Raw genomic sequence first — 27847 nt, forward strand, 5'->3', positions numbered from 1 at the left:
AAACACTTGGTCTGACATGTATCTTTAAAGATAATTCTGATGACTGTTTGCAGAATGAATTTTAGGAGGCAAAGTGGAAGCAGGCAGGTCAAGTAGGATGCTACTGCAATAATATAAGCAACAGATGATGGCTTAGACCAAGGGGGGAGGGGCAGGGATGTAGAGAAGTGGTTGGATTCATGATAGGATTCTACCTATTGAAGGTAAAATCAATAGGAATTTCTGATATTGGTGGTGAGAAAAATAGATCACTCTTGAGCAATTGGATGGATAAATGTTCACTATGACTATGTAAATACCAAATCATTAATCTCTGCCCACTATGAAATAACATCCTAACCGGAAAAGTGTCCTGGGTATGGTGAGCCCCCAGTACATGTTGATTGATTGAACAACTGAATGAATGGGGGAGGGAAGATGCTGAAAGGGAAGTTGAGCGGGGAGCTGAGGAGAAACTTTGCCTACTTTACAATTTTGCTTAGAGCCAGACCTGCTGACTGGTCTCCATAAAAAGGAAAAACAAAAATCACCAGAAAAGAAAGTTTGCTGTGTGGAAAGATTTAAACTAACAAAGGAAAAGGAAAGGGCCATGAGGGCAGGGAGACACATGTTTGGACACATCCCCTGCTTGGAAGGCTGACTCCTGAAAAGACCAGTATCTGATGAGTGTGCAGGAAACCCTATTGCCCTGTCAGTTCCTACTAACAACCGGGTGCATTTATGTCTCCTCTCAAAGCATGAAGCAGAGGAACCAGAGAGGGTGCCAGGGCCAAGTAAAGGCATGGACATATATTCATTGGCCCATCTGGCCCTCTCTGCAGGATGGGAAGCATTAAACAGAGGCAGCACACTGGCTCTGTGTACATCCTACCTAGAGACAGAAACATTTCAACTGAAACTGACAGTCTCTTGAAACCCGGTATCTGATTCTCACAATAATAACCCTCCTAAAAAATTCAGTCCCCAAGAAATGGCAATGGACTGAAAGAGTGCCTCTCTATGAAGATTAAAACTTTAGAATGTTTTCTAAAAATATTTTAAAAGTTTAGAAGATTTTCTAAAACTATTCTAAACGTTTAGAAGATTTTCTAAAAATCTTCTAAACGTTTAGAATATTTTTGTAATCATGAACAGTGCTAAACAGGTATGTGTTAGGGTAAACCATAGGAAGTTGCTAGGGTTAGTCCATTTTTTATCTAAAAGAGTAACTATTTCATGTGGTTCAACCTGATCTCTGTCTCTGCAGGCTGATGAAGTGCTTTGGACAAAATACCACCATAACAATAAATCTTACCTTGAATATATCCCCACTACTCCTTCTATCTCCAAATCCTAGAATGTTTCTATGTGTTCTTTGAGAAAGTAATTTTGGGGGATTGAAGCAATTTCTGATTGCCTGGGGGAGAAAATAACAACTATATTCCTCGATGATGTACCCAGCATTCAAACCAACCATCAGATGCTCAAAGCTTAAAGAAATTCAGAGGGGGAGAAATCCCCTTAGCATGGGAAGGATGAAAAGAGTATTTTACAATCCTGTAAATGTGGAAAGGCAGAGTGAAGCTTATGTTGTCCAACTCACTTGTTTTATCATACAAGCTAAGGGGCTTGCACAAGGTCAGGGCCAATAGTTCAAGGCAGAACTGGAGCCAGACCTATCATGTATATTGAACTAACCATTTTCTGAATCAACACACACCATGTATGGAAAGGTAAGAGGACTTTACAGGTGAAAATAATTTCATTTGTAAGATGTAGAAAAATGCTAAACACAAGTTACAAGAATTTGACTTCCCAGATATCAAAATAATAACCCAATAGAATAAGATGTGAAAAAAAAACTCACCAAGAAACACGGAGATTTTAGAATGGTGCATTTAGAAGAAGCTACTACGGCAGGACTGAATGGCAGGAGCAGAAAGAACTGATTTTATAAGCAGCTCGGGGAATTGAAAGAAAAAAGCAGCATGTTTAGATAAATGCTTTTTTGAGGATGGTGGTATTTTACCAGAATTATATAATCTGCTTATTTATGCAGCTGGGAAATTTTCACTTCCATGAGTTATTCTTTGAAACATTTGTAGTGAGTGCCTACTGTATCTCCAGCAGTCTTCCAGGTATCTGGATATATCGGTTAACAGACAAAAATCCCTGCTCTTAATGAGCATATATTCTAACTGGGGAGGTAGACAACAAACAATAAACATAAAACACAAGTGAATTGTATGGTCACTTAGAAAGTGATATGTACCGAGGGAAATAAAAGATCAGGATACTGGGAAGCTGGAGCCGTGAGCAAGGAGGGATGCATGTTGAGGTTTTTAGTAGTGTAGTCTGGGCAGGTCTCTTTGAGAGAGTGGATTTGAATAAGGGCTTGAAGAAAATGAAGGCTGTTTAGGGGAAGAGCGTTCGAGATCTTGACAGGTCACTAAGGCAGAGATGTGGCGGGCAGGTGTGTGTGTTACCACCTGCTCTGTAGAGCTGGTGTCATCCCAGTTTCTACAGCATGGCCAAGTCTTTTACATATAATAAGAAGCCTTGAGTGATCCAATGTGTCCACGTTATGTTACGCCAGAGACGACAAATCCATATAATGGAACTTTGAGAATTTGGTTGTGGTCCAAGTATGCTGTGGTTGTGTGAATCTCAGCTGTGGCCTTTATATTCACTCTTCAGAGCTTCTGTGGCCATGGCCACCTCTCAGTGTAACAACAAAGAGCCCCCAGCTCAGGTAAGGGTTTTAATGACTGAACCCAATGAACCACAGTTAATCCATTCATTAGCTTAGGTATCAAATATCAGAATGGTGGCTGCCACAGCAGGCAAAGCATAAGACTAGAGTAAGATTACTCATCATCTATTACTAGTTCAATCACATACTCACTTATCGACGCTGAATAAACGGCTCAATTTCTCTATGCCTCACTTTTCACATCTGCCAAATCAAGATAATACCCTTTGCTCAGTATATTTCACAAAAGCATAGTAATATTTAAGTTTAATGATATAATAAGTATGAAAGTATGCTGGAAGCTATAATGCACAAGGCAATATGGCTTAATTATCTCTATGCCCTCAGAGTACAGCATAATGAATGGCATTCCATAAGTGTTTTTTGAGTAAATAAGCAGACAAGTAAAACTTACTGTGTGATGACAACCAAGAAAAAAAGTCATCCCATCGGACATAACCTATGTCTACACAATCAAAATAAAGATAATATTTAGCATAGCTACCTTTATAAATCAAGCCAAATAATATATTATTCTAGATTTTCACTTGAAACTTTTTTTAAGCAGGAGTTATTTCAAAACATGATAGAAAACTATAGACTACTCTCAGTTTAGCTTGTTAAGTCCTTTGCCTTACCCAACCAGGAAGAAGAGAAGGACAAAGAAAAAAGAATTGCAATATTGCTCAGATGATCAGTATAAAAAAGACATCAAACAAGGAAGAGGAGGAGGAAGATAATTCCTTTTTAATAATTTCAATATTTGGAATATAAATAGCCATTAATAAGATGTAAAGGAGAGATAAAAAGTGTTTTGGCCTCTAGCCAAGATGTTTCAGGTGCCAGGAATTCTGCCCAATGAGTAGACAAAAGGAATGCTCAGCTGAATCTAACACCAAGCTATTTGTAGAATAAAGCTGGATTTCATTAAAAATGCCTACTCAGCAAGAAATCCACAGGGTGCAGCAGAAACACCTCTCTCTCCCACTGGGAGAGCATTTTTTTAACTACTAGAAATCATAAACGGGTATTTTGAAAGCTTGTTTTGTTAGTTCTGCTTGCTCCACCTTGGCCAGAATCAATTTTATCAAGGTCCCCCATTAGTCATGGCGGGGTCCATGGAGGCATTTCCAAATGGTTCTCACTGATTTATCCTACTGAAAGTTTTTAGGGACTTACTGTTGTTATCTCTTTTCTAAAATTGTCACTTCCCAAAGCACCACTTTCTGTTGGAAAAATTCTAGGAGTTGTTGGATCTGTTGAAACTATGATGCAAATTTTCAATTATCTAGATAGCTATTCAAGAAAGATCTATACCTAGCTGCCGTTTTGAGATCTTTTTCTTCTTCAGTTGGTCAAAAGCTGCCAAAAGAATTTTTTAAAAAACCTTTTTTAACCAGAAAATTGACCTCAGATTTGCAATTTCTAGTCTTTTTTCTCCTGCAAGTAAAAGATACGACGTAAACAGCTAAACTTGTTCTACTTCATAACAATAAACTCCAATCCCATTGGCCATCTCACAAGGTTCGGGAAGACCTTGTTCAAGGTTCATGAAAGACCAAAGCAAGTCAAGTGGATGTCTCAGCATCAACCTCTGGATCCACATTGCCTGGATTCAAATCCTTACCCACCACTCCCTAGCTTTGTGACCTCGGACAAGTTACTCATGGTCTTTCTGCCTCAGTCTTCTCACCTGAAAAATGGCAATAATAGTAATACTTATGTAATTAGTTACTCATCCTTTCTTTGTCTCAGTCTTCTCATCTGCAAGTTATAAATAATAGGAATACTTACACATTAGGCTTATGGTGAATATTCAATGTGTTAAAATTTAAATGTATTAAATCAATATGAAGATTTGGTGACATTTATTTAAAAGATTAAATAAGTTATCAGTTAAAGATCAGAAGAGTGCTGGGCACATGGTGAAAGCTATGTGTGAGTCTGCCATGATGTGATGGTGATCATGATGATGATGAAGGTGGTGACTCCTCTTTCTTGAATCCTTCTCAAAGCACACGTGAACCATGCTATTACCCAAACTGATCAATGACTAAAAACTCAGTGACAAGCATGACATAGAGAAAAGAGCAGTGAAACACTAACAAGTAACAGAATCCTACAGCCACAGAGGATATTCCACATTGTTACCCAGGAACTTTCCAACATTTCCCAATTTTTTTCCTTTTCCAATACAGGAAAAGTCTCTTCAGATTCCAATCAGAAAATTCCTCCTGTCACCCAAGAGGAAACTATAACCTCTCACATTGTCGCCACTGAGGACAGATCACAGGGGCAAAGGAGGTGAGTGCTAATCAAGGATGGCATGAAGAGGAGGCAGTGAGAGAGCAAACAGCAGTCCTGGGGAGAGGACAGCCGCACGCAGTCTTATGTGACTGTCCACAGCACAAGGAGGAAACTGGAGGGAGCACACTGCCCATGGAATATTGCTGATTAAAAACCACTTGAAATGAGACAGAAATTACAACAACCTTCAAAAGGAATATAGACGACAATAAAGAAAGTGACATTTCACCCAACACAGACACATGGATCAGCAAAACTGAGACAACCCAGGACAGGGGAAAATCCAGACCTACTTCAGAGCTACAGTGGGCTCAGGATAGAGGTCTGTATAGCTGCTGTCTGTTGCATATTTTAACTGTAGAGTAATAGTTAAGGGTGACTGAATACCTATTGTGTGCTAGGTACCAGTCTAAGCACTTTACTTGTCAATTGCAGGCACATTTTAGGGAGAGGGGACAGGGATTTAAAATAACATGAAGAATCCCTGTTTATAGCAATCAAAAGAGCCTAGCAGAAACAAAATTAATTAACACACCTATTCAAACAATTTCTAAAGGATGCCATGTGCGTTATAGGCATTTTTTAATGCAACTAATTGATAAACTCTATGCACAGGTCTCTGTGGCCACTGGCAGGCTAACCTCCACTTCTAGGAACTGAAAAATGAAATAATCTACCTGCTAAAGTCTAACATGGCATTTCCCTTAGAGACACTGATAGAACACAGAATCTGGAGGTTGCCAATATAAATTTGCAAAAACAGAAAGCAACCCTTAGTCTAAAAAGCTTGGGAAATGCTGCCTTAAGCAAAGTTGAACTGTTTTTTGTTTCATTTGGTTGCGTTGTTTTAAAGGACTTCTCAGAACTTTCAATGGACTAACAAACATGGCCAATCCATGAGAAAGGGACATGAGAGACAGGCGTCCCAAATTATCTGGCGAGAGAATTCTTCCCCACTACCCCTACAGCATTTTCCATAACTAAATTGTATTTAATAAAACATTATTTAGGAAATGCTAGTATGGGCTCATTTTATTATTTCACCTGGAATTGAGCCTGTTCCAAGCCCCAGATTTTTATCTACATCCTTTAGAAAGAAAAGAATCAGAAAGAAGCATCCAATTTATGTCCCTGTTATATTTTTTAAGGTAACACAGCTGCTGTAACAGATAAATATCAAAGTCTCACTGGCTTCACACAATCATAATCCATTTCTCCTCAAGCAACAGTCCAGCGCAAGTGAAATCACCCAGGAAGCTTTGGAAAATTCTCCTGTGCGCCACTCCCAGGCATTCTGATTTGGTTATTCTGGAGTGGAGCTAAGCATTAGGCCTTTTTTTTTTTTTTTTGAGCTCCCCACCCAGGTTTCTGGGCTGGCCTCTGAGGGGCCTATGTTGGAAAAGTTTCCTAGATTATCGGTCATTATAAATGTTGTTTCAAAAGTTGAAAGGAGTCGGGGGGAGAGAGAGAGAGAGAGAGAGAAACTTTGTAGAGAAATAAAGGATCATTTAACCAAAATTAGTATCTGTAAGTGCATGAATCTCCCATTTAATTTAGTGTCATGAGACATGCCCTGGTTTGTTAATAAGTCCAAACCTTATCCTTCCTGGTGCTGGGTCTGACACGTTTCCATCATGGTTTCCAATAGAATTGAGAATACCATCTATTATTTATTTATTCATTAAATATTGATTGTTTCAGCAGCAGAGGGCAGTGGTTGACAGTACTGGCTCTGGAGCCACATAGTTTGAATACTAGATTTACCACCTATTAGCTGTGTGGCCTTGGATAAATTCCTTAACCTCTCTGCCTCAGTTTCCTCCTCTGTAAAATGAGAAGAATCATCCTGTTTTACCAAGTACTGTGAGAATTAAACAACTAAATCCATGGAGAGGCCTAGAATAGTGACTAGCATGTAGTAAGTTTTCAAAAAGTGATGGCTACTATCCTTAACTGTTTTCATTATTTTGAAGTGCAGGTCTCTGCTCTAGGAATCAAGGGGTACAGAGAAGATGAGGCTATATTCTTCTGTCCTCAAGGCATTCATAGCTGGGCATGGGAGACAGACAGATAGATGTGACCTCGGCTTTCATGGCTTTATGTGCAAAATTGTGGGAGCATCTTCAGGGTCCTGTGGAGGGGCAGCACAGGAAGGCTTCCTGGAAGGGGTGGCTTTAGATCTGGAACTTAAAGGGTAAGATTGAACCTACAGGCTCAGTCACTTGTTACTGAAGTGGCATGGAAAAGAAGAAAGAATGAGTCAAAAACCCACCTGTCAGCATCTGCAAGGAGACTTTTTTTGCAGTAGAGGTTATCCAGGGTGAAGCCACCACCTCCTGCAAGGTTTCTGCAACATTCATTCCATACCTGGGACCGTGCTCACTTATGGGCACTCCCCCAACCCCGCTCGACAGCAAGCTTGGACCTTTGCATTGGCACCAAAAGGCCTGCAGTGTTCCATGGCGTGGTTGTGGAAACATTGACAGGGCCGCAGGGCAGCAGTAGGCAGGACTAGAGGAGGGGGCAGAGTAGAGGAGAGGCAGGACCGTTCTGAGAGCTTCGCAGGCACAAAAATCCCGGGCCAAGCCTCTGCCTCAGCCCCTGCAGGATATCCTGTCATTCAGCAGGATATATAGACCATTTACAGTGGCCAATTTCACCAAGACTCCTGGATTTGCCATTTTTCCTTTCTGAAGGCAGGTCTCACCTATCTCCTGGTTCGATCTAGGAAAAAGGAAAGGAAGGGATTTAAAAGTAAACAGTGAAATGAGAAAGAATTCACTGGGAGTTTATCAAACTAAGTTAAAATAGCTAAGTCAGCCTGACAGGTGCTTGGCACAGAGAAGGAGCAAATATTTCCTCATGATGCTACAACATTTAGTAATTTTTTGTCTTGGATTGGTTGTACAAAATTTCTGCTCCCCAGCTGAAACCACAGGGCAGGTAAGAGGAGACTTACATATTTTTTTCATTTGTTAATTGTCATGATATGTTCAAAAGCTTGTCGTTTTCCTCTGTTGTTATGGGTAAAGGGTGAAATCTGGACTTTATAAAATACAGAGAATGTTTTTGGAGACTAAGTCCTAATTGTGATGCACCATCTTTCCGAAGGTGTGCTAACCCACTTGTTGCTCTTCCTGTACTGAAGCGCCCCGCTGCTGTTGGGACCTCTAATCTTAGTGCTAACGATCCTCTTTCCAGTGCAGCTGTTGGCGTCTTGTTTTTCATTTGTTCTAGTAGTCTCATTACTGTGAATATCTACCATCCCATCTTCCTGACTAGAAAATAACTATGGCTGTGGAGAGATGGTCTGGGGAATTCCAGGGTGGATATCTCACTAAGGAACACAAGTATCAGAAATATTTCCAAAATCATCAGGCCTTCACCCTTTCATCTCTTCTGCCTTCCACAGAGCTGTAGTAAAAGTTCCCAGGGAGGTCTTACCAGTAGCCCCTATGAAGTACATCAGCACACCGAACCCTCAAGCAAGCTCACCGAGGTGTCATCACAGAGTGAGGCCAGCTGTCAGTGAGACACCATGTGATTTCTGATCCATCAAGAATGAATCTTAACCATGATTCTGCACCTGTGCCAGGCAAATTTTTATCAACACCAATTTTATTACAGTTGGCTGCATGCTCTGATAATGTTTTCATGAAAATATGGGAAGATGGCCTAATGGCTAAGTGCTCCAGCTTTGAAATTTGGTAGGGGTGAGTTTGAACTGTGGATCTCATTTTTCTGTTTAACAAATAGGTCTGAGGATCAGTCATGATCGTCCACAGCTGTTTGACCCTGAGCACGTTTTTTAATCTCTTCAAGCTTCAGTCTCGCCCCTGACAGTGCTCCACAAATGGTAGTAATTATCATCACCATCATCATCTTCTTAATCACCATCATCATCATCATCATTATCACCAAGTGTTTGCATTCACACAGAAATCAGACCTTAACTAATTTAAATAAGCTGAATTTACTTTTCAGAGAGGACAACTTTGTCAATACTGTATGAGACAGACAATGAGCCTTTTCATTTGAAAAGGGCAATTTGAAGGTCAAGATGTTTCTTAAGAAGAGGGTTTTAAATCTAGCCCACAAAGAAAGAAAAGACAAAGTACTGTAACCCCACATACTTATCCAAATGTGAAACCCTCATGTAAAGAAAAGCTTGCTTTCAAAAAAAATGTGAAGGTGTCCTGACAATTAAAGGAGGTTAATTCAAACTCTATCTAAGTGTAGCTTTTGTTATTACTCAATAAAGAACCTTCTAGTGCTATTTTGGTTCATGATGATCACCAAATGAAAACTCCTGGTAAAAATAGAAATTTCAGTTTTCTATACTCCACTCAGGTGCAGGAAAGAGAAAGGGCTAATCAAGGAATCACAAGACCAGTAACTCACAGGGTGACCTTGGGCAAGTCACTGCAACACCCCTCACCTCAGTTTTCTTCCAGCTAAAATGAGGATGATGATACCTGCCCTACTTATCTTCAGAGCAGTGAAGATCAAATAAGATAATACCTTTGAATGGATGCATAACCAATAATCGTTCTGAAGATGTAAAGTTTCTTTTTATGCAGGCTTTATATATTTCAATGAACTTAGAAGCAGTGGTGACATTTCCACCACGACCAACCTATTATTAGGCCCGTGGATGAGCTGTGGGATAATACAGAAGCATGAGACACAATCCTGCCCAAGAAGAAGCCTACCTCTTTCTGCTCTGTCCTATGGCCTAGAGCAAACCTGTTCAAAAAGCAGGGCCTCAAAATGTGTTGGTAATGTCTTTTTTGATTGGCAGGTCCTTTCTGCCTTCCCAGGAAATGCCTGGATTAGACTCCTTGCCCTGGAAAGGTCAAGGTTTGGGGTTCAAGAGATCCTACCCCTTCTCTCTACTAACTGCTCTATGCTCAGTTTTACCTCAGCATGTTGGCACAGCATATTTCTAAGAGTTTAGCAAATAAGAATCAGGTGTCTTTTAATGGAGTGCAAAAACCAACAAAATGTGCTCCACTGGGCCAGCCACAGGAAGAGTAGAAGTTGAGAAAAGGAAGAAAAATGAATGTGGTTTTGTGAAAGAGGTGGTGTGAAACAGGGTCTTGAAGGATATGGTTCAGCAGCCCAGTGAGAACATGGCAGTTAGGAGAGGAAACAGGCACAAAGGTGAGTGAAGAGTTACAGCAGCCAGCATTCACCACCTGTGATACTTCAGACATTTTTGCCAGGAAATTTGCACCTGCTTAAGTGACCGTCATCATTTAAAGGTCTCAATAACCTCAAGAGTGGTTATTAATATCTCCTCTTTATAGGTGATGGCAAAGGGTAAGCAATTCATTCAAGATTGTACACTTAGCAAGATATAGAGTTTGACTCCAAACTTAGGTCTTTTGATCCCCAAGTTTAGTCTCTCTTTGTTGTACAAAGCTGCTCCATCTTAAGCTTGATGAGGAAATGAAGAAAAGTTGAGGAAAGGGAGGCATCTCTCGGGGAGGATCAGCCTCGGCATTATGAGCAACAGGGGATCCTAAAGAGTGCCAAATTGGGTCTGGATCATTCAATTTAGTAGTTACATATCCACCACCTTATGTTGCTAAATAACTGTTTCTAGCACATCTGATTTCCCCAATTCATTTGTTTAATCAACAAATATTCACTGAGCACTGCTATGCATCAGATACTATTTTAGGGCTTAGGTACAACAGTGGACAAAACAGAGAAAGATCCCTGCTCTCTGGAAGCCTACTTTTCAGTTGGATTGTAATCTAAAGATTGCAAATATCTCTGAAATAGTAACTGTATCCTCCACGGCACTGGCACAGTGCTGGCTCCAGAGCAGACATTCCTGTGGAATCAATGATGAAAGAACATCCTTGAGATCTGCTGATCTATGACCAATTGACCTTGAATAACCTGCTTTACAAATTTTTCACTTGAGAGTGTATTCTGCCATATATTTCAGGTTCCCCACTTGGATAAATGTGGGTAATAACATTATCTTACCTTGCTAGATTTCAGACTCTATCTCAGGTATGGCAAATGTATGGTACAAACAGTGGCTCTTATTTCACCTACAGCCATGGCAGACATTGCTTATTAATCTCAATACTCTTTCCAGATAAGATTGAAAGGAGCAAACCAGTCATTACCAATCAACCTTATCACCATCCCTGACGTTCCATTGAGATGATTGGAGACATTCCAGTGGAGAAGATTGGCCATGCTAGATGTTTTGCAAGACTCTGATAACAGGAATTAATGTTCTTTTTTTTAATATTTACACAGGCAAGAAGATGTGATAGGAAGTCTCTTCTTACAATTAGGACCGAGTGCCGATCCTGCGCTCTCAACCTTGGAGTCAAGTGCCCGGATGGTTACACCATGATTACCAGTGGCTCTGTAGGGGTTCGAGATTGCAGGTACTCATGAGAAAATAAACGTGATGGAACTATGAATCCAACTTGAAGCTCCCTGTCTCAAAAACTGCAAAGCATTTCCATGACTTTTCTCTTGCTCTAAGACAATAAGCCCAAACTTAGGTAACTCACAATTTATGAACTTAAGTCTAAAATATATAAAATATATATTGTTGGCCAGGTGTGGTGGTTCATGCCTGTAATCCCAGCACTCTGGGAGGCCGAGATGGGAGTATCACTTGAGATCAGGAGTTCGAGACCAACCTGTCCAACATGGTGAAAACTCATCTCTACTAAAAATACAAAAATTAGCCAGGCCTGGTGGCACCTGCCTGTAATCCCAGCTACTCAGGAGCTTGAGGCACGAGAATCGCTTGAACCCAGGAGGAGGAAGTTGCAGTGAGCCGAGATCAAGCCACTGCACTCCAGCCTGGGTGACAGAGTGAAACTATATCTCAAAAAATAAAATATATATTGTTATTCATTCACATTTTAATACAAAATTGACTTATTTTGTATTGCACATAAACATTCTCTTTTCATTTTGCCTGTATTTTGAAAATCTGGGTTTTATTTAATTTGGAAAGAATTCTAGTCTTGAATGTGTTAAAAGCCTTGAGTGTGATAGTCATCTCTTCAGCTATGGACCTTGATACTAATTAGAAGTCGAAGAAGGGGGAAAGATGAATTGCAGCATGGTTGCATTTTATGTAAACTTTGCATTCTTGAAGACCTCTTGGGATTCAAAACTCTGATAACTCAAGGCTAATTCTGGCAAAGGATGACAAGTGGTTCTGCTCACTAGCTAATGGGTGCAGCCATGGGGCTCAACTGCAAATGCAATTTGTATTTGCGCAGCCTGTTTCTTTAGAAATTAGATAGTACTCAATGAGTTTGCTTTTAATTCCGGATGGAAGGATTTTTTTTTTTATTTTGCATGAAATGAAATCTTAACACTATTATATCACACTATTTTAAATTCACATTTGCTTAATGTGACCACACTATATTCTAAAATCAAAATCATCATTTTAAATAAAAGTTTCCCAGCATTAACTAACCTAGAATTAGCAAGCAGTGGGTATCATCAGATGGGATAACTTTTACCTGTTCCTCCTTTTGGAGGTTAGATTCTAATACGATGATTGAAGTTCGTATGATACGTGATTAATGTCTCTGCATAATCAGGACTTGTAACACCTTGATTGCTTCTGATTCTTTCTGAAAAAAGAAAAGAAAAAAAAATTAGCAAGCATATGCAGCAGTTAACACTCAATTGCCAAAGCTGAAAACTTTTTTGTACTGGCTACTTTTTTGTTCATTGCCAAGGTGGACACTTGGTTATGTTCCAATACACAAACACACAAGCACACACACACATACACACACACACAGGATAAAACTTTTGCATTCAGAAATGTTTTAGATTTAATGACTTTGGTCTATCATTCATCTATGCTGGAACAAACTCAAGATTGGTTCTTTTGTTTTATGTTCTTTCGTTCTGTTTGAAAATCACTTTATTGAGATATTACTGACATACAAAAACCTGGACATTCTTGATGTACACAACTTGATGAGTTTGAAGATAAGTACAATCCATGAAACCAACACCACAATCAGTGTCATAAACATACTCATCATCTTCAAAAGTTTTCTCCCCCCTCTTTTTTGTGATAAGAACGCTTAACATAAGATCTCCTGTCTTTGCAATGTTTAAGCATATATTATGTTATTGTTTAGGCACTAAATCTCTAGAATGTTTTCATCTTTCATAACCAAAACTTTGTACCCTGCAAACAATACCTTCCCATTTTCTCATCCTTCCAACCCTTAACAACCACCATTCCACTCTATTTATATTCCTCATATAAGTGGGATCATATAGTATCTGTTCTTCTGTGTCTAGCTTATCTCACTTAGCATGATATCCTCTAGGTTCATCCATGTTGTCGCAAGTTACAAGATTTCCTTCTTGTTGAGGGCTGAGTAATATTTCAGTGTATGTATATACCACATTTTCTTTATCCATTCATCCATTGATGGATGTTTATGTTGCTTCCATGTCTTGGCTATTGTGAATAATGCTGCAGTGAACATGAGAGTGAAGAGATCTCTTTAAGATCCTAATTTCAATTTTTTTGGATATATAACCAGAAGTAGGATTAATGGATCATATGGTAGTTTTATTTTTAATTTTTGAAGGACCTCCATACTTTTTTCTACAGCAGTTATACCAATTTACATTCTCACCAACAGTGTACAGTTGTTCCCTTTTCTCCACATCCTTGCCAATACTTGTTGCCTTTTGTTTCATGCTTTTTATAATAACCATCGTAATAGTTGTGAGGACGTATCCCATTGTGGTTTTGATTTGCCTTTCCCTGGTGTTTAGTGATGTTGAGCACCTTTTTATACACCTATTGGCCACTTGTATTCTTTCAAAATTAGTTCCTGAAGGGATATTTGGTCCTGCCCTTGGACTCTCCTTCTGCCCACCTTCGTGAAGAAGTGTCCCTGCCAGTATTCTCAACCATTCAAAAAAAGTCAACTCTATCCCCAACTTGACTGTTCGTAAAGTATGTGACTGTGCTATTAATCAGCTGTATTTCAAGGATGGGTTTGAGAGGACAACCTTGAATTCATCATCATGTTATTCTTAACAGCAGCCCAGTTGAAAGAAATGGAAAGAAACAACATTTATGAAGGATTGTCTCTAGATACACTAAGTCTAATCCTAGAATAAGCCATGCCTGCAGAGATCCCTTTAAATAGACAATAGTGTTTAACCTCCATAGAATTGTTATTCCAGAACTATATCTCAGCTGGCACTAGAAACTCTTCTAAGGAACTCATCATTTTATCTCCTACAAGGATATTGTGGGAAATGTTCCTTGCTGCATTATACTGCCTTTGCCACAGGCATTTCTACATCTGCAATATCTCCAATAAATATGCTAAGCCTGAGCAATGGGTTTGCTTTAAATCCACACATACTGTGCATTTTGTAACTCATGATCTCTCCCTTCCTGCATTGACTGCTAGGATACTCAGTGATAAGTTTTAGGTATACTTCTAGCATGTGCCTAAGCCTTAATATTTATTTCATCTACTAACTTCACTTCTGATATCACTTTAGATATTTCCCCCGTATGTTCATTGTTCTCTGATTTTTTCATCCAGTTCTTACAATTAAAAATAATCATAATTAAGTTTTATGCTACCTAGAAAGCCAAATGTGTTCCATCTAGATATTTTTAACTGTAGATAAATATTAAGACCTAAATTGAAAGCTAAGGCAATTCTACCACCTAGAGTAACTGCATTGCTCTTATCGTGGGTTAATGTCCTCTCTTTACCCTCCAAGGTACACCTTTGAGGTCAGAACATACTCTCTGTCTCTCCCCGGATGCCGCCATATTTGTAGGAAGGACTATCTCCAACCTCGGTGTTGTCCTGGCCGCTGGGGCCCAGACTGTATAGGTAAGTGGCACAATGCTTGGACTTTGAGACTTGCTTCTTGGTATCTCATTTGGTAGAAAATTGAGATGAAGGAAGCCCAATAAAAAGAAGAATGTTAACATCCGTTTGTAGAAATTTCTGTGTTAGTCTATATGTAGAAAATCTTTCTTGCCCTGTTAGCTTTCACAAAGCAATCTGCTTTACTGCTGATAGAGATCTCTCTTTAAAAGAATTCCCTTATAAGCCAGAAAAAGGGACAATTGAAAGGATACCCATTTTTATTTTAAAAGATATTTGCAAAAGAAAGGAAGTCAAAACCTGGGCTATTAGGACCCCCAAATACAATTTTCTTTAAGAAGAAATTTTGTTACAATGTCTCAAAGACTGTAGTTATTGTTTGGCAACCAAAATAATAATTAAATATTCTAAAAATTTGTCTTAGGATGGAATATCAAACTTTCAAGTGGTAGATTTAAGACACATCAGGGTAAAGAAACTGTGTAAAGTTAATTGTGTAGAGATGCAAATACACATATACATAAAAATTAATTCTGACCAGGTTTTACTGTAAGCAAAACTACTAGCAAAGTCTGAATCAATGGTATAGTTAGATTTCTGCAATCAAGCATAGCATTTGATAGCTGAAATTGAACTTTTATCCTTAGTATAGATACTAACACTCAAATAGTGACTGAGTCATTTCTACCTGTGGAAATTATGTAAAGTCTTCTTTTTTTGGTAGGAAAAAATCAGGTATTTTAATTTATGAATTTGCAATTCATTCCCCATCTTCTTAGATGTAATGAAAACATCTCCTTAGGATCCACATAAAAGGAGAGATTGGTTCTCTTTTGCTTTGTTTTTTTTTCTGATTAAAGTAATACAAGCAAATTATATACACTTGTAAAGTTTACAAAGGTATAAAGAAAGAAAAAATATCAATTTGTATTCTGTCGCATATAGGAAACCTTAAATATTTTGGCATGTTTCAGTCTTGGGTTTTTTTCCATATAACTTGTAAATAGTTGAATCCATACTGTATGTATAATGTCTTTTGGGTTTTTTGTTTGTTTATTTGTGTTTTTAACTAACGATTAAATGAATAAATGCTTGTATTTACTCAATATTGCTGACATTAGGTACCAGAGAGGTACTCAGCTTATATTACCAGATGTAATTTTTAAAACAAATCTTTGAGTTAGACATTTTTATCCCCATTTTGCCTATGAGAAATCAGATTTTAAAATTATATTTTGCCAGTTTCCTTTGGACTGGTAAGTGATAAAGCAAATTCAAGTTCAAAGTTGCCTGGCACCAAAGCCTACCTCTTTCTGCTCTGTCCTACTGTCCAGAGCAAACCTGTTCAAAAAGCAGGGCCTCAAAATGTGTTGGTAATGTCTTTTTTGATTGGCAGGTCCTTTCTGCCTTCCCAGGAAATGCCTGGATTAGACTCCTTGCCCTGGAAAGGTCAAGGTTTGGGGTTCAAGAGATCCTGCCGCTTCTGTCTACTAGCTGCTCTATGCTCAGTTTTACCTCAGCATGTTGGCACAGCATGTTTCTAAGAGTTTAGCAAATAAGAATCAGGTGTCTTTTAAAGCAATTAACTCTGTTAATCAAATTCAGTGTCTTTTAAAGCAATTAACTCCGACTTCCAGATTTTAAGAACATTTTTTGTGCCAAATGTGGTCATGATCATGTCTAGTTCTCATAGACATTTTGATACAATAGAAAGAACTTTTAGATTTGCTTTTCTCTTTCTAACCCACAAAAACAAATCTGATGCTAAGTTACTAATCAGAAACATTGAAGACAAGGAACGGCTTTGTCAAAGATGCAGTACAAAAGTCAGCATGTCCGACATATGAATGTCAGAAAACAGCCAGGAGGGCAAAAGAACACTGGGCCAGCAGCTAGAACTTCATCCCACCATTTACTGGTTGGGGCAAGTGACTTTCTGCCTACTCCTTATTCTCCTCATCTGTCAAATGGGGGCTAAAAGTCCTACTTTACAAAACTGTAGTTGAGATTTTAAAACACTAACCTAGGTGATAAGACTTGGCAAAGTCTATGACAAAAAGAAGGAATTTTGTAAGTGTTTAATGAATAAATGAATGGGTGACTCAAAGTCAAAATAGACCTCTGATAATGAAAGATGAATAAAATGACACTCCTCTGAACCCTTTTTTAACAGTGGGTAACTCTTAAAGCATGAGCAGGCAAAAAGGATTCAAGATCTTTTAGCAGGTTTATGCCATCACACTGTGCTATGTGCAGACCAATGAGGCAAGGTCCACATCTACAACCAAAAGAGTCCAAAAAGGTAGCTGGGCATGGTGGCATGTGCCTCTAATCCCAGCTACTTGGGAGACTGAGGCTGGAGAATAACTTGGGAGGCAGAGGTTGCAATGAGCCAAGATCATGCCACTGCACTCCAGCCTGGGTAATAGAGTGAGACCCTATCTCAAAAAAAAAAAAAAAAAAAAAAAAAAGAGTCCAAAAGGGCTCTTTGAATGTTCAAACATTTCCTTCAAACAGGCCTCAAAGCCAGGGAAGCAAAACATGAAAACTGAGGCCTGGACATTATTTCTACTGTCCTTTCACTGGGGCAAAACGGTACTCCTCTTTATCTTCATCTTCCAAACACACTAGATGTCTCGAAAGGCTTCCTTCCTTTGGCTAGGGAAAAAGATAAAACCTCTACTTGGCAGTATATTTTACCTCTCACATTTTGTGGTGATGACAAGCAAAACCTTGACTATCACTTTACATTTCCGTAAGGATAAGGCCATTTCAGAGCTGCTGACGTGGGTCTATCCTTCTTTCTGAGGAAGCACATTCCCAAGCTCCAGAATGGCCTTGTTTCCAAAGCAAATGGAACATCCACTTCCTTTTTAATGCATTGACAAATACATTCATATGTAACACTTCTGGGTTATTTCAAAAATTAATATATCTCACTCAAATTGGGAAATCACCCTATGGTCAACGCTGAAAACTTGGAGAAGGTAAAGAAGCGCAATGAAAAAAATTACTATCATCTTCTAAAATTAAGAATAAAGCATGAATTCTCACTTGGGGAAAAAAATAATATTATCTTGACATAAGGAAGGTATTTCTACCTGAATGTAACCTGCTTCTCCCTAATTAAAATTTATACTACTTTATCAAATGTGCACATGGAGATCTTTCCTCATTAGCACAAAAATACATTTCTACTTTGAAACTTAATCATGTCTGAACAGCCGATATTCTATTTGGGATGAAATCGATTTTTTAATTTGAACATCTTACTTTTTTTTTTATTCTGCCATGAACGTTAATGGATTTGTGTAACAACTCAAAGTAATGGAAAATGAACATGTGCAAAGGAGTTACACCCAAACTCAGTTGTAGACAAAACAATCTGATTATTTCAAAAAGAAATAGTCTTGATTTTTCTTTTTTAGGTCAATGTCATCAAATTATCTAAATTTATTTTTTATATCATGTTATTTGCATTTCCAGGCCTCTTTTTCTTTCTCACTGCATTTTTCTTGCCATTCACTACCCAGGTTACAAATAATAGACCACAAGGATTTGAAACCATCCTTTTAGGCATTTCCTTTTTTGCTCTGAGTGACAAATAATGCGGAGTTCACTTAAAGAACATATTTCACTTCAGTTTCCCAGGCAGACAAATCCAACAAGAGCTATAAATGGAATATTGGGACATATTTTCTGCCTAGCACTGTTCACCAAGCTTTTAAACAAAGGTGGTGACATGGAATAGGCACCTCTAGAGTTTCTTAGGAGATAAAGTTACAGAGAAGTCCCTGGTCTCTTGTGGGGCAGGAAGTGTATTATCTTCCTTTAAAGAAATAGACCAGCTGATTTGCTGACAGCTTATAATGGTAAAGCCTCCTGCATTAGGAAAGTCAGGATGCAAGAGACCACCAGAGTAGTGGTGACCCAAGGAAATGTGATAATGACCTAGAATAGTCTTATCAGCTTCTTGAGCATCACAATGCATTGGAAACCTGCCCTTATAGCAAATTATATAATATGTCTTTCAAGCATCATTGCTAAGAATGTCAATTTTACCATAGTTTTCTCTAATGGGGGCCTGAGATGATAGAAGATGATATGAAAAGCAGGAAATAAATTACACTTTTTCGTTAAAAATTTTGTTTAAAAACCAAATGAGCTGTTTTCATAAATTGTTAAAACAATCTATCCAGGCCATAAAATGAGGATTCCTCATACCCCCACATTCCTGCTACCTTTTCTCCCAAGTTCCTTCCAGCGTTGGCCAGCTCATAAAAAATCAAGCATTTATTAAGCACCTACTATATGCTGCGTACAATCAGATATATGATAGACCCCATTCCCAATCACATGTATGATAAGTCCCTATCCCCAAGGAGCTCACAGACTAATGAGGGAAATTGACATGGGAGCAGAGGAGTAAAAACAATTGTACCTGTGAGCCCAGGTGAGGACACTGGGACTTTGAGGAGTTTTGCAGCCTGCCCAAAGAGAACCAGCTAACAAGTGTGGAGCCACACACCAGGAAACAGGGACTGTCTCACTGCAGACCCCAGTTCTAGTTCATTACTCTCTCCTGCTTTCCAAAATACCTGGAATATTGGGACATATTTTCTGCCTAGCACTGTGCACCAAGCTTTTAAACAAAGGTGGTGACATGGAATAGGCACCTCTAGAGTTTCTTAGGAGATAAAGTTACAGAGAAGTCCCTGGTCTCTTGTGGGGCAGGAAGTGTATTATCTTCCTTTAAAGAAACAGACCAGCTGATTTGCTGACAGCTTATAATGGTAAAGCCTCCTGCATTAGGAAAGTCAGGATGCCCAAAGCCCACCCCTGGAATTCTTGCTTCCACCATTAGCTGGGTGCCTGCTCTGCCTGGGGTTGGTTCCATGACACCTGAGCTCCCTTCTGAGAGGCAGCATGGTTTTACAGTAAGATTGCAGACTCCAGAGTCAGATTTCCTGGCTTCCATTCCCAGCTTTATTCTATTTCAGTTCTGAGACTTACTCCCTCTGCAGGGTTGCCAGATTTAGCAAATAATAATACAGGGCACCCAGTTCTATTTGAATTTCAGATAACTAACTAATCTGCAAACAATATTAGGGATGTACTTATGCTAAAACAATATTCATTGCCTATCTGAAATTTAAATCTAACTGGGTATCCTGTATTTTACCTGGTAACCCTATTCTTTGGTACTATCTTCCTCATGATGCTAACACACCCACCTTCCAAAGACTGCACTGAGGTGAGCTAGTATGTGGAAAGCACTTAAGATGTGCCTGGTGGATGGTAAGCCTCCAGAACATGTTGGTTAGCATTTCTGTCTTTTGTGTTTCTCAGATCACCAGTGGGCCTCTTTATTTCAGGGAGTGTTTACTGACTTGATTTTATATTCTAAAGTGCTGACCTGTTATACTCTGCCTTCAGGCTTAAGGACTCAAATTCTTAAGTTAGGCCTGATTGCAATGCCAGTTCCAACTCTTAACGACCATGTAATCTTGGGCAAATTACCTCGCTTCAGTATTCTTACCTATAATCTGAGTGATGAAGATAATAATACCTTCCTCATTTAGATGTGAAAATGAGAACCTACATGAAAAGTGGTTGGCAATAGTACATGCTCAATAAATTCTCTCATTAAGCTGATAACTAATTTCCTACATAGTTTCAGCACTTTGGTAAGGACATTTCTGTACATCTCATTTCTTTGTGTAGCTTATGGTCCCATATGTGTATTGTTTTTCTCATGATTGTCTGCCTTTCTATGGGTGGACCCAATGGGTCACACTGATGTCTCAGGCCACAGCAAAGGCCTGTGCTTGAGGAGTGTAAAGAAGGTGATCTCTTAGTCAGCTACAGTTTGCTACAACAAAATACTATAGACTGAGTGGCTGAAACAACAGATGTTTGTTGAATGAGAGAAAGAGAGACAGAGGGCACTCTAGTGCTCCGGTTTTCCTTATTTTTATAAGGATACTGATCCCATCACAGAGACTCCACCCTGATGGTTTCATCTGAACCTAAACACCTCCCAAAGGCCCCACCTGCAAACACTATCTCATTGGAGGTCAGGGGCTTCAACATATGAATTTAGGGAGACACAAACATTCAGGCCATAACAATAAGTATTCACCTTGGCCTTTCGTCCATTGGGTCACAAGCCACTAGGCAAGAGGGCTGGGCCAGGGTGAAGCACCTCCTATAGAGAAAACCTCACATCCATTGCAGAATATTTGATGTTGTGGCTCAAGAAAGCCCCCAGGAGATAGCATATCCAGCCAGCATATGCCTTCACCCTTTGCACAGCTACAGGCAGACACCTGAAGAACTGTGGAACTCCTGACCACAGCAAGAGACAGGCACATTCCTTCCTGTCCTGGCTAAATTTTATTTCACTTTCTTGTGAAAATATGAAGAGAAATTATTGCCAGCTTTGAAGATAATAGTAAGCATTCAACAAATGTTGAATGAATCAATTAAATGAATGTAAAATCTATGCAAAATATTATAAGTAGTCCATACAGAGAAACAAAATTACAAGCCAGAGCTGAATGGGAATCCTTATCTCTGAGCCTAGTGGCTGTGACCTTGTTACCAAACCTTGCTAGGCTTCAGTTTCCTCTTAGATAACAACTTCATAAGGCTATTGTGAGGATTAAATACTGAGATAGTGCACGTAATGTGCTTGGCATGCTACCCAGGGTCTACATTGCTAAAATAACAGCAACAACAATAAAGCAAGGGCAGCACAAAAGAGGAAAAAAAAAAGGGGGAGTCAAGAAACCTTTAAAGGGGCTGGGCGAGGTGGCTTGCGCCAGTAATCCCAGCACTTTGGGAGGCCAAGGAGGGCAGATATCTTGAGGTCAGGAGTTTGAGATCAGCCTGGCCAACATGGTAAAATTTCAGATCTACAAAAAATACAAAAATTAGCAGGGCATGGTCGTGGGTGCCTGTAATCCAAGCTACTCGGGAGGCTGAGGCACAAGAATTGCTTAAACCCGGGAGGCGGAAGTTGCAGTGACCCAAGATCGCGTCAATGCACTCCAGCCTGAGTGACAGAGCGAGACTCCATGTCAAAAAGAAAAGAAAAAGAAACCCTTAAAGACCAAGCTCTGGCTTCTGGAATGTGCTCAGCAATGCTTTGCTAGATGGCTATTTGAACCTGAAGAAATGCCTCCTGAACATTTATTTTCTTGCAACTATATTAAAACATTCAAATTGAAAGATTTCTCGATTGAAAGTAGGAAATTATATAACTTACCTTGTGTTTAAAAATAGACATTTATGAATCTAGTGTCTGAATTTGTTTTCCTTTCCAGTGAGAATAAACTATAGAAAAGGATGTTTCTAAGGTCTAAATAGAAATGGAATTTAATCAATCATTTTTTGGATATTAATTGCCTTTTCCACACCAGTCTTTGAGACACATGATCAGTGCTAATAGATTTTTTAAAATTTATTATCATGATTTGCATACAGTAAAACTCAACCTTTTAAGTATACAGCTATTCAAGCTTTGACAAACCTGAAGAGTTGTGTGGCAACCGCCACAATTAAGATAGGGAACAGTTGCATATCCCCCCAAATTCTGTGTTGTCAAGCCCTCCTTCAACTCCCAATCCCTGGAAAATACTAACCTGTTTTCTGTGTCTATAATTTTGCCTTTATGTCATATAATTGGAATCATACAGTATGTAACCAGTATGTACCTTTTTAAGTCTTGTTTCTTTCCCTTGGCATAATGAATCCGAGATGCATCCATGTCATTACCTGTATCAGTAGTTTCTTTCCTTTATAATCCTTTGCAGTACTCCATTCTGTGGCTAGACACAGTTTGTTTAGCTATTCACTAACTGAAAGACATCTGGGTTTGTTTCCAGTTTGGGGCAATTAAGAATAAAGCCACCACGGACAATCACACACAGGTTTTGGGGTGAATGTAAGTTTTCACTTCATTTTGGTAAATACCTGGGAGCGGGTGTCCTGGATTGTAGAGTAAAAATATGTTCAACTTTATTAGAAACTGCCAAACTGTTTTCCAAAGTATCTATATTATTTTTCATTTCTATCAACAATGTATGAGGAGTCCAGTTGTTTGGCATCCTTGCTAGCAATTGCTATAATCAGATTTTTTATAGCCACTCTAATGGATGTGTAGTGGACTTGCATTTTAACCCATTTTAATTTGCATTTTTTCATGCGCTTATTTGCTATTTATATATTTTTTGGGTTGTTTGTTTTCTTATTATTGAGTTTTGAGAGTTCTTTAAATATTTAAGATATTAGATGTGTGCTTTGTAAATACTTCTTCCCAGTCTGTGTCTTGTCTTTCCAGTCTCGTAACATTGCCTTTTGAAGAGAAAACATTCTTAATTTTGATGAGGTTCAAATGTATCATGCTTTTATAGATACTGCTTCTTGTATCATATCTAGAAATCTTTGACCAACCTCATATCACAAAGATTTTTTTCTATATTTTCTTCTCAAAGCTTTGTAGTTGGCTTTACATTCAGGTCTATCATCCATTCCAAGTTAATTCTTTTTTTTGTTTTTGTTTTGTTTTGTTTTGTTTGAGATGGAGTCTCGCTCTGTTGCCCAGGCTGGAGTGCAGTGGCGCGATCTCGGCTCACTGCAAGCTCTGCCTCCCGGGTTCACACCATTCTCCTGTCTCAGCCTCCCGAGTAGCTGGGACTACAGGCACCCGCAACCACGCCTGGCTAATTTTTTGTATTTTTAGTAGAGACGGGGTTTCATCATGTTAGCCAGGATGGTCTCGATCTCCTGACCTCGTGATCTGCCCACCTCAGCCTCCCAAAGTGCTGGGATTACAGGCGTGAGCCACCGCACCGGCCTATTCCAAGTTAATTCTTGTATATTGTTTGAAGTATGGATCAAGATTCATTTCTTTGCATATAGATAATTTCAAAAACTCCAGCAACATTTCTTGAAAAGATGATCCTCTCCTCATAAAATTGCCTTTGGACCATCGTAGAAAATTAATTGATTGTCTATGTACAGGTCTATTTCTGGACCCTCTATTCTGTTCCACTGATGTATATGTCTATCCTTCCATGAATACCACACTGTCTTGATTACTATGGTGTTACAGTAAGCCTTAAAATGAAGTAGTGTAAGTCCTCCAACTTGACCTTTTTCAAAATTATTTTGCTTATTCTAGTACCTTTGCTTTTCCATTCAAGTTTAGGATCAATTTGTCAATTTCTAACAACAAAATAAGTCCTCCTAAGATTTTAATTCGAATTCCATTAAATCAATAGATGCATTTAGGGAGAACTGACATCTAAAAATATTGCTTCCTCCTGTGCATAACGACCCCGTAGCTCTCCATTTACTTAGGACTTCTTTTATTTTGTTTATCACTGTTGTATAAATTTCAGCTTACAAATTTTGCAGAATTCTTATCAGATTCACACCTAAGTTCTTCATGGCTTTTGGTTCTACTTCTAACAGTTTTTTGAAATTTCAATCCCTAATTGTTCATTGCTAGTTTATGGAAATAGAATTGATTTTGTATATTGACCTCATATCCTGAGAAATTACTAAATTGATGTGTTCTAATAACTTTCTGGAGATACTTTGGAATTTTCTCCATAGACAATAATGTTGTCTGTGAATAGACAACTTTATTTATTTATTTCTAATCTGCATTCATTTTATGTCATTTTTTAACCTTACTGCTCTTACCATGATGTATTTATCAGTTTTGTATATTGCTAGGTTCAGTTGGCTATAATGTTGTTTAAAAATTTTGTGTCTGTACTCATTGGGGATGTTGGTGTATAGTTTTCTTTTCTTGTTATGTATTTGGTTTTGGAATCGGGATAATAATGCTCCCTATATTGAGTAAACTGAGGTATATTCCCTCTTCGATTACCTGGAAGAGTTTTTGTAAAACTGATATAACTTCTTCCTTACATGTGAGATAGTATTCACCAACAAAGCCATTTGGCATGGAATTTTCTTTGTGTAAAGGATTTTAACCTTAAATTCAATTTCTTGGATATAAGAACATTCAGGTTATCTATTTCCTTTGAGTGAGCTTTCCTAGTTTTTTACTTTCAATACATTTGTCCATTTTATCTACATTCTCAAATTTATTGGCATAAACTTGTTCATAATATTCATTTATTATCCCTTTAATGTCTACAAGATTTGTAGTGATGTCCCCTCTCTCATTTCTGTGATTGGTAATTTTCATCTTCTCTTTTTTTTCTTATTAGTCTGGCTATAAGTTCATCCATTTCATTCACCAGCTTTTGGTTTCATTTATTTACTCTATTGCTTTTCTAATTTTTATTTCATTAGCCACTGCACTTTATACCTCCTATCTTCTGCTTGCTTGGGTTTCATGTGCTATTATTTTTCTAACTTCTTTACCTTAAGTTGTAAGTTTGAGTCATTATTTAAAAACTTTCTTCTTTTCTCATATAGTATTTATTTAGTGCAATAAATTTCCTTGTAAGCACTGCTTTAAGTGCATCTCATAAATGTTGAAATGTTGTGTTTCAATTTTATTCAGTTCAAAGTAATTTTTAATTTCCATCTTGATTTATTCTTTGAAATCGGTTACTTTTATGTATAATATTTTACTTCCAAATAGAATAATTTTTCACATATATTCCTGCTATTGTTTCCAAATATGTTTCTTTTATTCAGTGAATGCAAATTAAGATATCAAATTTGTGAGGTTAAGCTAATACCATGCTTAGAAGGAAATTTATCATTTAATTCTATTGTGGTCAGAACACATACATTATTTGAATCCATTTAAATTTATTGACTTGTTTTATGACCTACAATATCTCCTGTCTTTGCAACTGTTTCATGTGCTCTTGAAAAATAGGTGTATTCTGCCACCTTTAGATGCCGTATTCTGTAAATGTCAGTTAGGTCAAATTGATTAATAATGCCATTCAAGTCTTTTCTATACTTAATAATTGTTTATTTTTATTTTTATAAGAAATATGATTCAATATCCTTAATAATTTTAAGACTACTTGTTCTATTGATTATTGAGAGAGAGGTACTGAAATCTCTACTCTAACTGTATATTTACCTATTTCTCCTTGCAGTTCAATGAGTTTTCGTTTCATGTACTTTGAAAATCTCTTATTAGGTCAATACATATTTATGATTTATGTTCTGTTGATGAATTGATTCCATTAACATTATGAAATGAACTTCTTTATACCTGGTAAAAATATGTTAATTTGAAATCTACTTCATCTAATATTAATATGAGCTACTTCAGCTTTCTTTTGACTAATGTTAGTGTGCTTTTTTCTCTCCTTTACCTTTAACATAATTGTATATTTAAAATATACAATTTTGTAGGCAGCATATAGTTAGGGTCTCTTGTAGGCAACATATAGTTAGTTATTGCCCTTTCAACTAATATGACAGCCCATGTCTTTTAATTAAGGTTGTTTAAACCATTTATATTTAATGCGTTAGGTTTACATCCATCATCTTGCTATTTATTTTGTTTGTTCTATCTGTTCTTTGTTCCTTTTGCCCTCTTTGTTTGCCTTCTTTTGTATTAATTAATTCTTTTTTAGGATCCTCTTTTGTCTCCTTTGTTGGCTTATTAGCTACACCCTTTGTTTTTGGCAATTTTTTAAATGTTTGCTTTAAGGTTTATGGAATAAATCTTTAACTTAATACAGTCTACATTTAACTGATATTACACCACTCTATGCACAAGAATCTTATAACAATATACTTCTATTTCTACACTCCTATCCTTGGTGCTATTATTGTTATGTATATTACTTCTATATATATTAGAAGCCCCACATTATATTGTTACCAATTTTTCCTTAAACAATGAACCATACTTTAAATGATTTAAAATATTGGAAAAATATATTTTACATTTAACCACATAATGACGATGTCCAGCATTCTTCATTCTTTTATGTGGATACAGATTTGTATCTGGTATTTTTTTTCTTCCTGACCAATTTTCTTTAACACTTCTTGTAGTGCAGGATATCTAGTGATTAATTCTTCTACCTTTCGTATGTCTGAAAAAGTCCTTATCTTGCCTTTGTTTTTGAAAGATATTGTTGTATATAGAATTTTAAGTTGACAATTTTTTTGGTTTTGGTAATTTAAAGATGTTTCCCTGTCTTTTCAGTTATATTGTTTCTAATAAGATCTGCTGGCCAGGCATGGTGGCTCATACCTGTAATCCCAGCACTTTGGGAGGATGAGACAGGTGGATCACGAGGTCAGGAGATCAAGACCATCCTGGCTAACATGGTGAAACCCTGTCTCTACTAAGAATACAAAAAATTGGCTGGGCGTGGTGGCACACACCTGTAGTCCCAGCTACTTGGGTGGCTGAGGCAGCAGAATTGCTTGAACTCGGGAGGTGGAGGGTGCCGTGAGCTGAGCTTATGCGACTGCACTCCAGCCTGGGCAACAGAGCAAGACTCTGTCTCAAAAACAAAACAAAAAACAAAAACAAAAACGAAAAAAAAGATCTGTTGTCATTGTTATCTTTGTTCCTCTCAGCATAATAAATCCTTTTTCCCTTTGGCTGCTTTTAATTTACTTTTTATCACTGGTTCTAAGGAATTTTATTATAGTGTGTAGTTTTCTTCATACTATTTGTGCTAGGTATTCTTTGAGCTCTTGGATCTATGGGTTTATACTTTTCATCAAATTTGGAAATTTTGGCCACATTTTTTTTTCAAATACATTTTCTCCCTTCCTCCTTTTCAGAGACTCCAGTTATACATATATTAAAATGTTTGAAGTTGTCCCACAACTCACTGATGGTCTGCTCATTATCTTTCAGTCTTTTTTCTCTCCATGCTTCATTTTGGTTTTTTGTTCTTTTTTCTGTTTTTTTTTAATTATACTTTAAGTTTTAGGGTAC

General features: G+C 37.9%; 1 protein-coding gene and 1 non-coding gene across 7 annotated transcripts in view; both read left to right on the top strand.

Moving 5' to 3' along the window:
* The first annotated feature begins 7696 nt into the window (after positions 1–7696).
* The window catches only part of STAB2 (stabilin 2), a 179447-nt gene continuing 159296 nt past the window's right edge, over positions 7697–27847 (top strand). For all 6 annotated transcript variants that reach the window (XR_007063104.1, NM_017564.10, XM_011538537.3 and 3 more), the window contains exons 1-3: positions 7697–7981; positions 11321–11454; positions 14819–14934. Coding sequence is in view for 5 of the 6 variants with exons in the window: in NM_017564.10 (NP_060034.9) it covers positions 7901–7981; positions 11321–11454; positions 14819–14934 (331 nt within the window). In the remaining variant the exon portion in view is untranslated. The remainder of the gene's footprint in view (positions 7982–11320; positions 11455–14818; positions 14935–27847) is intronic.
* Positions 12536–12667, top strand: LOC124900318 (U8 small nucleolar RNA). The gene has a single exon (XR_007063621.1). It is a non-coding gene; the product is annotated as a U8 small nucleolar RNA (small nucleolar RNA).

The sequence above is a fragment of the Homo sapiens genome, chromosome 12 (genome assembly GCF_000001405.40).
Source record: "Homo sapiens chromosome 12, GRCh38.p14 Primary Assembly".
NCBI lineage: Eukaryota > Metazoa > Chordata > Mammalia > Primates > Hominidae > Homo > Homo sapiens.